Source organism: Homo sapiens, chromosome 3 (genome assembly GCF_000001405.40).
Source record: "Homo sapiens chromosome 3, GRCh38.p14 Primary Assembly".
Taxonomy (NCBI): Eukaryota; Metazoa; Chordata; class Mammalia; order Primates; family Hominidae; genus Homo; species Homo sapiens.
In genome coordinates, this window is record NC_000003.12 from 123895577 (window position 1) to 123913063 (window position 17487).

Genomic DNA, 17487 nt, shown 5'->3' on the forward strand with positions numbered 1-17487 from the left:
AGAAATTGATTCAGTTAGTCTAGGATGAAGCCTGGGGAATAATTTTTTTGTTTGTTTCCCCAGTAATTCTGATGTGGGACCAGAGTTGAGAACTACTGACAGCCTAGGTAAAACCTCCAGCAAACAAAACAATTTGCATATTAGACAACTGTGCTTCAGTTTGCTCTTCTGTTCTAAAGGCTAATTATTTGTTTAGAGATTACTCTTTTGTGGAGAAAAGGGAACGCTTATACACTGTTGGTGGGAATGTAAATTGGTACAACATTACGGAAAACAGTTTGGAGGCCCTTCAAAAAACTAAAAGTAGAATTACTATATGATCCAGCAGTTCCACTTCTGTGTATATATTCAAAAGAAATGAAATCACTATGTTGAAGAGATAGCTGCATTCCCATGCTCATTGCAGCATTATTCACAATAGCCAAGATACAGAATCAACCTAAGTGTACAACAGCAAATAAATGAATAAATAAAATGTGGTGCTACGGTTTGAATATCTGTCCTCTCCAAAACTCATGTTGAAATTTAACCGCCAATGTGGCAGTGTTGAGAGATGCGGTCTTTAAGAAGTGTTTGGGTCATGGATTAATAGACTAATGGGTTAGTGGATTAATGGGTTATCATGGGAGTGGTGGCTTTATAAGAAGAGGACTAGCACGCTAAGTCCCCTTGCCATGTGATTCCCCGGACTGCCCTGGGACTCTATAGAGACCTCACCAGCAAGAAGGCTCTCACCAGATGAAGCCCCTTGACCTTGGACTTCTCAGCTTCCACACTATAATAAATGAATACCTTTTATTTATAAATTACCCAGTTTTAGGTATTCTATTATAAGCAACAGAAACTAAGACATGGTATATATAGACACACAACGGAAAATTATTCAACCTCAAAAAGAAGAAAATCCTTCATTTGCAACAACATGGGTGAACCTAGAGGACATTATGTTACATGAAATAAGCCAGGCACAGAAAAACAAATAGCACATGATCTCACTTACATGTAGAATCTTTAAAAGTTGAACTCACAGAAGCAGATAGTAGAATGGTAGCTACTAGACGCTGGTGGGGGTGGGAAGGGGTTAAAATCTTTTTTAAAAAAGATCAGTTCCTTGATCAGGAGTATTAACATATGAAAATAAAGACATACTAAGCTTTAAAATATGATTTGTAGATTTGTTCCCATAAGTATTCACTGTACACTGATTTTCTGTACTTTAAATCCTGTTATCTTATGTATTATTCTTTAAATCTTATTATCTTATGTATTAACCAAAGGTTAACTTTTCCTATTATATAAGAATAAGATAATAGCGATTTAAAGTACAGAAAAGTCATGTGGGCAGGGGCAGGGAAAATGTATTACCTCCCCATGTACTAAGTCTTTACAATTGTTATCACTTTAGATCAGCACCCCAAAATTCTATAATTACTCCCCACCTCCCACCTGCATTTAAGAGGAGATAAAATCATACAACTGGTAAGTGATGGCATTGGGATTTCAACCTGAGTCTCTCTTGTTACAAAGCCATTAATGAGAATGTAATTCCAAAATCTGAAAAAAGTTTAAATTAATATTTTAACCATAAAAATATAAATGTTAATTGCAAGAAAAAGGGAAAGAAAACAAACATTATAGAAGGTAGAAAATAAAATGTATCTATCATCTTCCTCACAGCCACACCCTGTAATCCCCTAAGTAACTTTGATTGAGAATTTACTGGGCATCTTTCAGGAAAAGACTGTTTTATTAGATCACTTATTATAATAATTCTAAAATTTAGTACAAAATATTATTTTAAAGTTCCTAGGATTATTATTATGTTACAAATAAGTTTAAAATCCAAACTGATTATTTCAAGCTGCAGAACCCCAGATTCCAAGGAGGTGACTGAAGTTGAAGTGGGTGCTGGGGCCAGGACTCAGATCTCCCACCTCTTCCTTGTTCAGAGCAGTTCTGCTTTTCCGTAGTTCATGTACTGTATTGGGCTTTTGTGTAAGACTTTGCAGAACATTTAAGTCCACAGTTTTAAAAAGTCTGAAAGAATAGAAATGACAACATAAATAAATATAAACTTGGGATTACATTCTATTATTTTACATTCTATCTGTCATCCTTCCTTCATATTCTACTTTTATAAACCTATAGGTTCTCCGTTTGCTACCCTCAAGAGCCCTATACCTCCATTCTAAAAACACTGTAGAAGTTTATCTTAGAAACAATAGGTGATCTGGGCAGAGGGGAGGGAAGGGATCTGAAAACCCAGCACATCAAAGGCCATGTTTACAGACAGAATGAGCACATGCAAATCATGGCTGAGAAATCTATCTACTGTATAAAGTAAATCTGGAGATATTTTATATGTAAGACCTCTGATGTATACAAAGCCTATAAACTCAATTTCCTACATAATGAGAATCTATAGCCAAATGATATCATCTATGAAAAATCCCTTGTTTTGCAAAAGACAAAGCAGAAGGTAGAGGATAAGTAGTGCATTTCTACCTCAAATTGTGTGGAGGGACTATAGTTTAGTGTGAACATCTGAGTCACTGAAGCTTTCTTATTAACTAGCTATGTGACCTTGCACAAGTGACTTAATTTCTTCTGGACCCGAATTTCCTAATTGTTAAAAAACAGATACAAGTGCGATAAATAAACCCCATCCACTTCATAAGGTTGTTGTGAGGGTTGCACAAGAGCGCACATTGCAAAGCATATCAGCAGAGTGTTTGACACAGAATAATTGTTCCACAAATGGTGAGTACTTTTCTGTGGAGTACCAATTACTTAATCGTGCCATGCCAAACTCAGTTCTCTGGCCCCTGGTAGGCTAAAATTCTTTCCATTATTCTGCATTGCCTCTTTTTTGGTAACCTCTATCTGTGCAGTCTTCATTCAGTGCCAGGTTGGAGAGACTGTGAGCTGTGACCCATGGTCCCAGCCAAGGCAGACATGATGAGTGGCAGCTGGAGAGGTGGTGCAATCCAAGGGAACTTATAGGTGAGTGGAGGATTGAGATGGTGGTCCGGATTATCTACACCTGATGAATCCTAAACAGGTGTGAAGTGAAAAACTTAAGTTTGAATCCAGCACTTGTGAATATCCCAGTACGTTTTCTTTTTCTTTGAGACAGGGTCTTGCTCTGTCACCCAGACTAGAGTGCAGCGGCACAATCTTGGCTCACTGTAGCCTCCACCTCCTGGGTTCAAGCGATTCTCATGCCTCGGCCTCCTGAGTAGCTGCGATTACAGGTGCCTGCCACAATGCCCTGCTAATTTTTGTAGGTTTTTTTGTTTGTTTGGTTGTTTTTTTTTTTTTTTGGTAGAGATTGGGTTTCCTCATGTTGGTCAGTCTGGTCTCAAACTCGTGACCTCAAGTGATCTGCCCTCCTTGGCCTCCCAAAGTGCTGGGATTACAGGCCTGATCCACCATGCCAGGACAACAGTACATTTTCACCTAGTTTTTTGCATTCATGTTTATAATTGTTTATTAACAAAGTCAGAAGTTATTTTAACAAGTAGTACTTGAGTAGAAGTATAAATGGAAAGAGCTTATTTATTAGCTTTTCTGACTTTAAGATGTTTATTGTTTAATCGGTTTAGCTTCTGAATTAAAAACTTATCAGAGGTTCTTAGTTCTGTTGTAGAAAGTATTCATCTGCTAGCTTAAGTTGTCCTTGATAACTGCTGTTGGTATATGAGAACATGAACTAAGCCTTGAGTACTCCACCCTAGCTCTGCATGCTTCCTAACTCATCTCATGCCCTCACATGGTTTCAGATACCACCAGTGATCCCCAAATGTAAATCTCTAGTCTATTTCTTCTGAGTACCCAGCTTTTGGACTTCACCTGGAATTCATGTCCAGTATTGCCCTCTTCCCCTCGTCCCCGGGAAACCTGCCCAGCCTCCTGGCTCCCAGGTTAATGACACTGACACCCATCCAGCAGTCCTGGCCAGAAACCTGGGTCTTTCTGCATTCCCTTTGCCTCATCAGTTGCCCATGGGATTTCCTACCTATGCAGATGGCAAATTCCTCTCCTCCCCAGTTCTCACTACCACTTGCCTTACCTGTCCCTTAGGCTATTGTGGCAGCCTTCCAACTGGGCTTCCTGTCATCAGTCTTGTCCCTCTAATCCACACTAATAGAATGATTTTCTTCAACATAAATCTGTTAACGAAGTCTCCTCTGTAAACGTCTGTAGCTGACCAAACTCCTGATCTTTTTTCTGGGTTCTTCTGTAGCTACTCATCGTAATGTCAACTCCAGCCATGGGAGCACCTCACTATTTTCTGAACATGCCATGGTAGTTCAGGGCTCATTAGTCTTTTCCAAGCTTGAATGATCCCTTATCTGTGAAACTGACCGAACCTCACCAGTTTGATTAAGATGTCTCTCCTCTGTGCTCCAATAACATGTGCCTCATACTGAGTAATCCATTTGTGTATCCTCAAATAGACTGCAAGCCTTTGAGGACAAGGACTAGGTCTGGCTTTTTCTATATATCCAAGCAATAAATGGAGAGCTTGACACAATGTGGGTTAATAAATACATTTATTGCATTACTTATCTGTGGAAATAAAAAGCTATTAATTGCAAAAACAAAACAACCAAACAACATCATAAGAACAAGGTAGAATTTTTAAGAGAGAAAGAAAAAAGAAGAAATACTTTGGGAATTTTTTGTTCTGAATTATCCCAGCATGTTTTATAACGGTCTCCCACACACCCATGTACCCACTGGAAAAACTGGCTAATTAAGTCAAGAGCCCTCACATGAACAGAAGCCTGACATTAGGAGGCTGCCTAAAACAGCAACATTCCAGATTCCTTTTCTGAGTAGGTCTTCCAGGACTCCTCTGGTCCTTCCCCCTATCTCTCAGCAAGACCATAACTGAACAGTCTTAGAAAGGTGTATATCCACTTTTCCTTCCTGGTAATGTGAGAGGGAGCCTTCAACTCAGTTACGAATTCCAGCGACTGGACGTTCTATCGGGAAAGTTCTTTCTTATGTTTACATAATAATTCATGTTGCTAATAAAAATCTATTCAGATTAAGATAGTGCCAAAAGTTTTAAATACTTATACATTTAACAAGATCAACTCTAGGCTTATATTTTTTTAATTGTGGAAAAACTATTAAAAGACACAAAGTATTTGAATAGATTTAAAGTCATATCATGTTCCTGGAAGAGAATACTTAATATAAAACTGTTAATTCTAGAAATTTTAATATATTAATTTAATGTAGTTCCAATTAGAATTTCAACAGAGTTTTTATTGGAATTAGATAAAATGATTCTAAAGTTTATATAAAGAAAGAATGCCAAAGAATAGCTAGTAAAACTATAAAAAATATAAGAAGACAGAGTAGGCCAGGCGCAGTGGCTCACGCCTGTAATTCCAGCACTTTGGGAGGCTAAGGCAGGCAGATCGTGAGGTCAGGAGATCGAGACCATCCTGGCTAACACGGTGAAGCCCTGTCTCTACTAAAAATACAAAAATTAGCCGGGCATGGAAGCAAGAGCCTGTAGTCCCAGCTACTTGGGAGGCTGAGGCAGGAGAATCACTTGAACCCAGGAGGTGGAGGTTGTGGTGAGCTGAGATCATGCCATTGCACTCCAACCTGGGCAACAAGAGAGAAGCTCCATCTCAAAAATAAAAAAATAAAAAAAAAAAGAAGACAGAGTACACAGGGGGGCTTATTAAGATATCAGTGATACTATAACACTTATAAATTCAATTCAATATAGCATTAGCAAGAATACAAAATATATTTCTGGAACAGAATAAATAATTAATGATTACATTGTAGTTATTATTTAAATGTATTACAGAGTGGTAGTTCAATGGGAAAAAAGTTGAACTTTTTTTTTTACTATGCAGACATAACTGGCTACTCACTTGAAAGAAAAGTGTTGAACTGCCATCTTACACTACATTAAAATATAAATACAAATATATTAAGCATTTAAATGTAAAAAAAATTTTAAGTTGAAGAAAAATATCTAGGAGATTATATGTACACACTATGGTTAGAGGAGACTTTCCTTACCAAGAACTATAAAATAAAAGGTAGGCATACTCAGCCATTTATAAATCACTTTTTTGGTATGGCAAATAGTACTATAAACAAAGTTAATAGCAGTCAATGTGTCTGAAAAAATCTTTGTGCTACTATATTCATACAAAGGATCACTTTCTATACAAAGCACCCTTAAAAACTGATAAGATGGTGACTAAAAACTGACAGAACTGATTAGAAAATTGTGCAAAGGATACAAACAACTTACTAATGAGTAGTATCAAAAGGCCCAACAAACATATGAATATGATTCAAGTTCACTAGAAATCAGAGAAATAAAAATAAAAGTAACAAAAAAAATCACTTAACACCCATCACACTGGCAAACATAATAACAGACATAGTAAAGCTTCCAAAGATCAAACATGGGACAATGTAAGTATCAAAGAAAATCATAACTGCAATGGATTCAAACACATCAAAGAAGTTTAATCCATTACTTCATAATGATACTAAAAAAACCAGTCATCATTAAAGGATGCTAAGGAACCATTTCATTATTTTGAAAACTGGTAGATAATGGGAAAGAATCAAGCACTTATGTTGCCTTATTTATATGAACTATACCATTGGGTAACCAAACAGCAGAGGTGAGAAAGTTTTTCTCTATAGACAGTACACCTCATAAATGAAAAAGAGTAGATTTAGACTGTCACCATTCTGCAATCCTAATGAACAAATAGATCTGGGTACTGAGCATCAATGGTTGCTAACCAACATCACGAAGAGGGAGACAACCAAACATTATGTGACTCCTGATGGAGAAACAATCACTGCCTTTGAATTCTTCTTGCCATAAAAATCAAACCTGAATCTGATCAAGCTTTTAGATTCCATTAACAATTCACAGGCAATAAGGATGAGGAAAATCTTCCACCAAAACATAGAAATGCAACTTGCAAAATTCAGACTGTGGGAAGCTTTACAGCACCAAAAACTTGGTTCCTTCAACAAATAAATTGTATGGAGGAAAAAGAATATGGCAGGGGAGACAATTTGTTAAAAGAGACATAAAAGACTAATCAATTGCAACTTGTGTACCTTTATTTGTGTACCTCAAGTAAGATGTAAATACTAGCTAACTATTTAATGAATAATTATTGTTAATTTTTTTAGATATGATAATATTGTGCTTATCTTTTTAAAAAATTTTTTTACTGTAAGTTCTGGGATACATGTGCTGAACATGCAGGTTTGTTACATAGGTATACATGTGCCATGGTGGTTTGCTGCACCTATCAACCCATCATCTAGGTTTTAGGCCCACATGCATTAGGTATTTGTCCTAATACTCTCCCTCCCCTTGTCCTCCACCCACCGACAGGCCCCAGTGTGTGATGTTTCCCTCCCTGTGTCTATGTCTTCTCATCATTCAACTCCCACTTATGAGTGAGAACATGCGGTGTTTGGTTTTCTGTTCCTGTGTTTTAGAAATACATTTATACTTATATTTATGGATGAGATAATAAGGCATCAGGAACTTGCTTTAAAACAAAATGAAACAGAAGGAATTGGATGGGGCAGGTTTGGCCATGGTTATTGGGCTGGCTGATGGACACACAGAAGTTCACTAGGCTATTTGCCTTTTTTGTGCATGCTTGAAATTCTCCATAATAAAAAGTATTATTTTTCAAACACACACACACACACACACACACACACACACACACACACACACACGACAAGCCACAGCATCTATTGCTTATTGCTGGTGGTATCTATGAAGGAAATTTTCACACATTTATAGCAGAAGTGTAAAGTGTTACAACCTCTTTAGAAGGCAATTTGGCAAGATCTGTTTTTCAAAATGAGTATATCTTTTGGCTCAGCAGTTCTACTCCTGGGACTCTATTCCTTAGAAATAGCAGTAGACACACACATGAGGTCATATGGCAATTGTGTGACAGTGTTCATAGAAGACCCCAAACTGGAAACAAAGTGAATGCTCACAGCAATAGATTTGGTAGACTGGCCCACTCTCTGTTTAGTTAACCCCTTTCTTGTGTGTCTTTTTATTTTGCAGAGGCTGGAAAGCTAAAGACATATTTCCAACTCTCCCTCAAAGCTAGGACTTTAGATTGTGATTTAATCTTTCCAGATGCGCTAGTGTAGATCTGACAGACAAAATGTAGGTCCGGAGTAAAAAGTTCCCATGGTAGCCTCCTGATCCTCAAGTTGCAGCTAAGGTAGTGTGATTCTGAAGCCAGCAGCTGGAACAGCAGCTTCTGGAATGTGACAGAGACAGCAGTTCTCTTGGAGAGAAGGGTCTGTAGGACTGTTGTGGGCATGATTCTTTGAGGCCCAGCCTAGAGCCTGCTACTTCGGCACCTCCAGTTATTTTGTAAGTCCCAAATTCCCTACGTTAAATCTCTTTCTACTTAAAATAGCTATTTTCTGTTATGTATAACTGAACAAAATGGTTGAATGAATTACGCATTATATAATAATTCCATATCATGGAATACTAACTAGCCATTGAAGAGAATAAATTAGATCCATACTAGATGACTTCTTAGTCATCTAGAGGGATTTCCCTAAGGTACTTCTAAGTCAGAAAATCAAAATACAGAAAAGTTACATATGATCCCATTTTTGTGAAACAACGACCAGCTATCTCTGAGGTCTATATAAATCATGGACCTATATGACTTCATGAGCATGGAGAAAACACTGACAATCACCCATTAGGTTATGAAGATAGGTTACAGGTGTGTGGCTAGGGTGTGGGAAAGGGACTAGTATGAGGAGAGAAGGTGGTGAGAGAAGGTGTTGATGAAAAAAATAGCAAGCATGATATGATCCTATATATATAGAATTACTTGTGTATTTTTATGTGTATGTATAAAGAATGCTTAAAAGGATAACCAACTCGTTAATCTCATGATGGTGGGATTTCAGGTGGGATTTACTTTTATGTGATTAGGAACAAACTAAAGGTCTTTTCATTGTGGAAAAAAAGAAAAAAAAAAAAACCCTGGGATGTGCAACTGTAACAAAAGCTATAAGGTACTTAGGAATAAATTCTATAAAAGTTTAACAAGATTTTTATGGAGTAAGTAAATGGAGTGTTATACAATATTAATGAGTTGGAGGTTTCAATATAATAAAAATGGCAATTCTCCAAGTTAACCTATAAATTCTACGCAATTCTAATAAAATCTCAAGAGAATTTGTCACAGAATTTGATCAACTGGTCCTTCACACAGAAGAGTAAAGGCCCAAGCATAGACAAAGACAATTTTGCAGATGAATGGGGGGAGAAAGGATCATTTTACCTGATATGAAGACATTATAAATCTGCAATAATTAAAAGTATGGTATTGCACAGAGACAGGTAAAACAGATGAGAGAGAGAGAGAATAAACAGACCCACAGATAAAGGGGAACTGGAAGAGTGACACAGAGGTAACATTACACATTAGTGGGGAGCACAAGATGGCAAATGAACCTGGGTTGCTAGTCTTTCAGAACCCACCATGGTAATGTTACAGAAGTGACAGACAAGTTAATAATGGATAACAGAATATACCATAAAACTACTGAGAAACCTTTGGGGAGACAGGAAGTGATTGGTTACCAGTGGGTATATAGGAAATGTCAGCCTAAAATAGAAGGTGGCCAGGCAGAAGGTGGGCTGGGGGACATCATTCTCCCTTCATTTTTCTTCTCCCCGCACATTGTTCTGAGTGAGTCATTGCTCACCTCTCACTTCTGGGGGGCAGAAGAGCAGTACTTAGGCCAGTGACACTGAGTATTTGAGTTGCCTTACGGCAGGGCTTGAAGAGCGGCTAACAACAGGTGCAGAAGAATGTCTTGACTCCTGAGCAGGCCTAATCCCTGTCCCAATCCTATGGGAGGAAGCTCTTGAAAAATGAGTAGAGCTCAGGAAAAAAAAAGATACAGGAAACAGGGAATGATCAAACCCAGACTGAAGTAACAGAGGTCAACACTCTAAGGAGTATTTCCTATCACTACAACCACCACCTCACATCACATACACTCAATAACTCATCAGAAGGGTCTCAGTTGGATTCTGGATTTCAGTCTCCCTTCCAGGTATACATTATCTGTCCAGGTAGCTGATACTCCCCAAGGTAATGTAAGCTCACAGGGGAAAATAATGATATAAACTACGTGCACAGGCTTAACAGTCCATGCTAAAGGTATCAGAAACAATGGACCAGAGAGGCCTGAATTTAAAATACACATAATAAACACATTTAACAAGATAAGGGAGAGTATTGGAAATATGAAGCAGGAACAAGCAATTATAAAAAAATACTGTATGAATAATATAACAGTTGAAATTAAGAACTCAACACATGAATTTATCTGCAGAATAGGGATAGCTGAAAAACCAATGAATGAGATGAAAGATCACATCAGGCCGGGCGCAGTGCTCACGCCTGTAATCCCAGCACTTTGGGAGGCCAAGGCGGGTGGATCATGAGGTCAGGAGATCGAGACCATCCTGGCTAACACGGTGAAACCCCATCTCTACTAAAAACACAAAAAAATTAGCCAGGCGTGGTGGTGGGCACCTGTAGTCCCAACTACTTGGTAGGCTGAGGCAGGAGAATGGCGTGAACACGGGAGGCGGAGTTTGCAGTGAGCCGAGATCGCGCCACTGCACTCCAGCCTGGGCGACAGAGCGAGACTCCATCTCCAAAAATAAAAAATTAAAATAAATAAATAAATAAATAAATAAAAAAGAAAGATCACATCAGGAAACTTCCTCTAGAAGAGTTAAGAATAGACAAAGAAATGAAAAAAAAAAGGAGACATGAAAGTTTCAAATGGAAGTGTAATAGAAATCATAGGAGAGAGAAAAAGAAAGTAGTAGGAGGAAATATTTAAAGAAATAATGACTGAAGTTTTCCAGAATTAGAAAAATATGCAAGACCACTGATTTAAGCAGCTCACAGAGCATTAACAGGTGACATTAAAGATCAAAACCTCCCATACCCATTAGAGTGAAATTTAAGATGATCAAAGCCAGAGAAAATTCTACAGCTTTCTAGAGGGGAAAATTATGTCACCTACAAAGCAACAAGGATCTGCTCCATGACACATTTCTTAGAAGCCATGCTTAGAGCTGGGAGGCAATAGTGTAGTAAGTAAAGTGCTGAAGGGAGGACAAGTTTGAACCTATAATTTTGTATCAAAACTATTATGTTTAATCTATTTTACCTTGACTTGCTTTCAATTTTGCCTTCATTTCTGAGATGGTGTAATGTGTCCTTCCATCTTTTCCCTAAGTTCTGCCAACTCCTGCTTCATCTCCTCCTGTTATCAGATCATCTTGGCCCTGGACTCTTGCTTCTCTGCTCAGTGCTCTTGGTTTCAATAAATAGCTGTTCCATTCAGTTATAAACATTCATGACCAAACACTTAGTCACAAACTTTTGTCTACTTGATGGCAATGTTTTCCTGATAAGTGGTTTTAGTTTACAGTCATATTTTCCTATTTATTTCCCCTATTTCCTAAAAATATTTTAGTATAGATCCTCTGCTGATCTTTCTTGATGACTCTTTTTTTGAAGCAGTTAAGGAAAGTTTTCTTAGATCAGCTATTTGCAGCAAGCTTGTAAGGAGGACTGGAATTTTCCTTAATATTTAGAGTTTTATGCATTAATTTGTTTGGTGTTCATTCTTCCACTTGGGAATAGGCACCTATGCTCTCTGTCTCTAAACACACAATCTATGTAAAGCCCATGGATCCTCTCCCCATTGTTACAAACTAAGGATTTAAAACTTTTCCTGGCTGGGCATGGTAGCTCACACCTGAGATCCCAGCACATTGGGAGGCCAAGGCATGAGGATTGCTTGAGCCCAGGAGTTCAAAACCAGCCTGGGAAAGATGGTGAAACCCTGTCTCCACACAAAAAAAAAAAAATCAAAAAAATTAGGTGGGCGTGGTTGTACACTCTTGTAATCTCAGCTATTCAGGAGGATGCCTTGAACCCAGGAGTTTGAGGTTACAGTGAGCTTTGATCATGTCACTGCACTCCAGCCTGGGCGACAGAGCGAGACCTCATCAATAAAAAAAATATAATAAAAAAAAAAACCCTTTTCACCTCTGGGTAAACCATTCTTCTTCGAGAAATTTAGTCTGCTAGCCTTTTCTGCTATCTGGAGTCTTAGCATCCACTGTTTCCTCTCCTATGCACTCCTGCTTGATAACTCCTGCTTTTTCAGTCCTTCTAGCTATTTTGCAGTTTGGTTTTAGAGCTCTCTCCTTGTTTCCCCTGCAGGTGGAGTTGTACTCTTCTTAGTTTCTGCAAAAGGGGGAAAAGGGGCCACTTTACATTACCATCTTCACATTAAGAACCAGTGTAAATTATTTAATTTAAATGTGAGGGTAAAAGAAAAATGTTCAAGTCCTCAGAGTTACCATATAAAGACACTCTTCGAAATTAAAATAAGAAGAAAAATAAATATGGAGAGCACCCATGATATTAGTATGAAAGAAAGAAGGAAAGAAGGTAAAAAAGAAAGAGCAACCCAAAGCTAAAATTCTGTAAGATACCAACGTGGTAGGAGGACATACCAAAGCCACGTGGCTAGTTCCTTTGGTGTTGCGATCTTTCCTCTTGGAAAATTTAGCCCTTTGAGCTGGAATGAGTCTTTGAGATCGTATCTCCTCATTTGGGAGGCACTGGGGCTCTAGGCCCTTCAAAGGCACACTGTCTTATTTGTCTTTAAATGCTCAGTATGTAGTACACGGCAGACAGCAATAAATTGTAAATGAATGAAGGTCACATAACACATAAAGACAGAATCACTAGGTCACCTGACTCTTGATCCACTGCTCCTGCTCTTCTAATGCACCATGTTATTCAAGTGAATTTTCCCACCAACTTAAAATATCATTGCCTGTTTAAGTGTTTTATATTAATCAATAATATACCATGGCATTTCCTCAAATTTTGGCCAAAGATATAATACAAAACTATAATTTAAATTCTCATACCCTTTCTGGGTATGTTAGGAGTTGAGAGAAGTTGCTTTAAGTGTTTTGTCATCCATTATTTTTAAAATCTGACCAGACAGATTTGTAGACTGGTTGGGATATGGGGAGGGGAGAGGTAGTGATGGTGGACTGAGTCTCTAGTGAAACAATGATCACAAGCTTTGTGTTGGGGAGGGGTGATGTTAGAATATAGTTCACTGCTCCGAATTGTGAAGACCTATTTTTTCAAATGTGATTTACTGATTTGCTCTAGTTTTTGTCTCATCTTCAATTGCTCCATCACCCTATCCTAAGATGGCAAGTCTAATCATATTGACTGACCTAAAAAAAAGAAAGATTAATTTTCTCTTAATCCATTGAGGCTCTAGGTTTGAAAATTATTTTTCCTTTACTACTTTCTTCTTGCCAAACGTCAAACAAACTACTACCCTCCAAGAAGGTCTGTTCTGCTTGTTTTGGAGCTCCTTACTTTTAAAATATTTGAATCTGGTCTCTTACCCCACTCTGGGCCTAGAGATCACAGCCAAGTGCAAAATAATCTGGAAAGGATGGTGGGATGAAAATATGTACCTTGGCCGTGTGCTCCCTACTGAGCGGCTGACAACATTTCTTGTTATAGATTTGAACAAACGTGTAAGTCTCTTGCTCCAAAAGGGACTGAGTTTTCCTCTTGGATAGTTGGTGTTCTTCTCCATGTCTTCTTGAGATTTCTGTGGAGAAATGAGCCCTCTTACCCTTGGGCTGAGCAGAAGATAATGCTGGGGTCCTGGAAATGTCAGAGCTCACTTTGAATGCCAGTGTCGATGGGAGAAAAACCCGTCTACTTTAAAACAAGTTTTAGTAATGACTTTGGTGGAAATGGCCAAGTGACAGGTGGGGAAATTGTTTTACTAGCATTATGTCACATGCTAAACAGATTTTAAGAACACTGTGTGCCTTTAATAAAGCAAAAGTAAGAACTTAAGTGTCTATTATAGTACACACACATACATACACATAGACCAACTACATGTAATTAGTAATCATTATCATCCACTTAGTGTTTGTAGTTTGCAAAACATTTTCACATGTGATTTTATTTAATCCTCAGAACAAATCCCAAAGGGAATTCCTTATTATTAGACCATGCTAGTAGAGAGAGAATGGCACAGAGCTAGGTTCTGGTGACAGATTTGGAGCCCTAAAGTTTCCAGTGGTCATGAGACTGAGCTGTCATCAGGAAGACAACATAATGAAGAAAGGCAACTGAGAATCACAACATCTGGTTAAGGTGTTAGGTGTGCGGCCTTAAGCAAGTATCTTTAAATATGTCTGATTTCAGTTTCCACATGATAATTTTCATATTTCATTATTCATGGCCTCTAAAAGCAGACCTGGCTTCAAGGAGAACAAGCACTGAGAGTTTGTGGTAAACTTGAGCTCTTCCTTTAGAAGCAGCTGAGACCACTTATCTAGTTAGAACCTTAGTCTTCGAGGAAATGCTCATGTCTAGCTAGATGAAAATGGCCACCCATGACTTCCTGCCCCAGCTGCCCTAACATGGTGCCACTCAACACCAAGAATGACAATGTGAATATTATTGGGAAACTAACTACAGCCCTAATATGATCTGCAGCGTGATGGCTAAGATAGCCAACTCAACCTTTGTCCATTTTAAAACTACTATAAGATTATAGAAAATGACAATCTAATGGTCGTCCGCCTGGATCAGATCACATCTGAAGTTCATTGCTGGATTTACATTTTAAGGGACTCACTGACAAACCGGTGGACATCAGAAGAGGGCAAGCAAGATGGTGAGGACTCTTTAAATATTGTCATAAGTCACAGACTGTACAGTGCCCTGCAGTTTTCCAGTGCTTTGCTTACGTTCATCCCTCCCAAAAACTGGTGAGGCAGGCTGGTGGGATAGATTACTCTGCATTAGTGTCATGGTTAAAAAAAAAGTTTCTGTCCTAAATATTTAAGAATCTGTGGCTTCTCCACAGCACAAGCAGAAGTGTGCAAATGTTTGCCAGTAAGTGAATTTGGTTTCAGAAGTCAGTAACTGAATGAAGAATAAAAGGCACAGGGAGGCTAATGCTAGGAACTTAGATGTGTGTAATAAAACTATTAACAAGCTGTTTCATGAACTTAACACCAACAGAAAATCAAGTTATGCCTAGGTGATCATCTGCAGAGATTTAGTTAGGTCCAACAATAGTTATTAAGTACAAACTATATGATAGTCACCAAGGGTCATGAGGGCAGTTGAAAATGAATCAATCCTGGTCCCTATCCTCAAGAAGAGTAGAGGGTAGGAAAGACAGATACGTAAACTGATAAAGACATCACTAGAAATATCTGCAAGGTACAGAAGTAGTACTGTGGATTTCAAGAATAAATAAAAATTTGTCAGGAGGAGCTTGGGCAAAAGGCCGTCCAGGTAAAAGGAATACCCCTGGTGTGCTTGGAATCTTCCAGTAGTAGGTATCCAGTAGTATCACTGTAGAACAGTTCTTTTCTTTGGGTATAACAGTGAGATTATTTCTATAGTCCTTTCAAAAAGTTAACTTTTAAACCCTTCAGAAGTCTAAGATCTTATCATCTCTGGTAATTCTATGGGAGGGTTAGCTCAAGACAACAGCTTTAAATAAAATAGTGCCCGGTTCTCTACAAGTGGTAATATTAATACATCCAGAAAAGTTAAGGGGCTTTGAATTGTGTGTGTTAAGGTATGCTATAGTCTTAGAACCCACATGTTTAAGCAATTCGGAGCAAAAGGAAATCTAGAACTAACATTGGAAAAATGATTAAGGGAGTGTTAACTTACAAATCAAACCCAACTTTCCCTAGTGGTTGCTTAAATTCTGGACCCTTAAACATTATTTTTGAGAAGGGGCCTGTTATCCTAGTAATTAAAACTTAAGCCAACGTTATCACTCTTTTTTCCCTTACCCTGCTTTATTTTTCTTCACAGAACTGACTATATGTTCCTTTGCTTGTGTCCCACTGTATCATAAGCTCTTTAAGGACAGAATGTCTGTCCTGTTTATTGCTGTCTTCTCAGAGCCTATAATAGTAACTGGCACATATTAGAGCTTTCATTTCATTCACTGAGTGAATGAATCTTTAGCTGAGGGAATGTGAGCACTAGTTACCTACCTGGTCAGCTGTGATGAAGCTGCATGCCCTTTTTACCTAAGCAGGTTTTACAATGCTGCCCTACTTTCCATGTAGTTGGAGCAGGCCTTTATCACTTTTAAGGCACTTGACAAGTAAAATGCCACCATCAGTGAAAATAAAGGTTTCTGAAAGATTTACTAAACTCCAGGGGTGGTGGGAATAAGGGAAGAACATGTGGTAAGTACTTCTTTGGTTCTTTAGCCCTGCCCCTAGGATCTCTACACTTGGTCCAATATCATCAGATTCTACCTTTTATCTTCAATGGTGTTCACAACTACTAAATTCATTGTAAAGGGTTGTATATTACCTCCACAGATCAAAGACCGTAAAATAGTGACAAAATGCTAGAGGATGGTTCTCACTCCATGCTCAATACTTATCTGGAGACACGAATTTCAGTGTGTCAGAGGTTAGGGATACTCTGGACATCTACTAATACGCTTTTTGCACTCTGGGACATCTGAAAGGGCTGAGAGGGCTGGGATCTGGGACCAGCCTGACCCTTCTGAGACTACGATGAGGCAGTAATGCTGACTCCTGCTGAGATGATCTAAAGACGACGACTGAGAATGGACTCTCCTCGCCTTTTTATTCTAATGAAGACAACTTCGAACTTAACTAAGAACTTGACTTTTCATTTTAGACATCGCTCAGTGTGTCTCAAACTGATTAAACTGAAAACCTTGGAGTCATCTTTGATTTTTCTATCCTCTGTAGTTCCTATTTGGTCACCCAGCTGACTGAAAAATTTTCGTCAATTTGCCTCTCCTTTTTCACTTTTATTGCCAAAGGATTATGTCTGAACTACTGCAACAGCTTTCTAAATGGTCTCCAGTCTCTCCCTCCTCTAATCCTTCCTATTTACTATCACTCTATGACATTTTAAGAATACCCAACTTCGCCTGGTAATCCTCAACTGAAAAAAAACAAAAAAACAAAAAACACCACCACCAGATCCCCAAATACTCCAATGACTTAATGTTTAATGGATACTCCTCAGCCTGGAGCTCAAGACATTCCACAACTGACCCAAATCTTCTAATTGTGTTTTCTTCATTTATTATTACCACCCCCTCCCCACCTCTATTTCAGTCAGGTTGGTCTACCACGGTACATCCTAATATACCAAATTCAACCAATCTCCACATTTTGATGATACTGACTTTCTAAGGGGGAAACATTTAAGGCTGTTCACAGGATTACCCAAATCCTATGTATTCATCCAAATGAAGTTCTCTTCTAGGTCCTCCTCTACTCTTGGC

The 17487-nt window shown here is 38.4% G+C and overlaps 1 protein-coding gene across 4 annotated transcripts in view; it reads right to left on the reverse strand.

The window, feature by feature from the left end:
* Nucleotides 1-17487, reverse strand: part of CCDC14 (coiled-coil domain containing 14) — a 76054-nt gene that overhangs the window by 10401 nt on the left and 48166 nt on the right. For 2 of the 4 annotated variants that reach the window (XR_007095720.1, XM_011513081.3), the window contains one exon: nucleotides 1935-2037. Coding sequence is in view for 3 of the 4 variants with exons in the window: in XM_011513081.3 (XP_011511383.2) it covers nucleotides 1935-2037 (103 nt within the window). In the remaining variant the exon portion in view is untranslated. Of the gene's footprint in view, nucleotides 1-1728; nucleotides 2038-17487 lie in introns of those variants that run through there. The other 2 variants (XM_047448748.1, XM_005247715.5) reach the window with 1 other exon arrangement.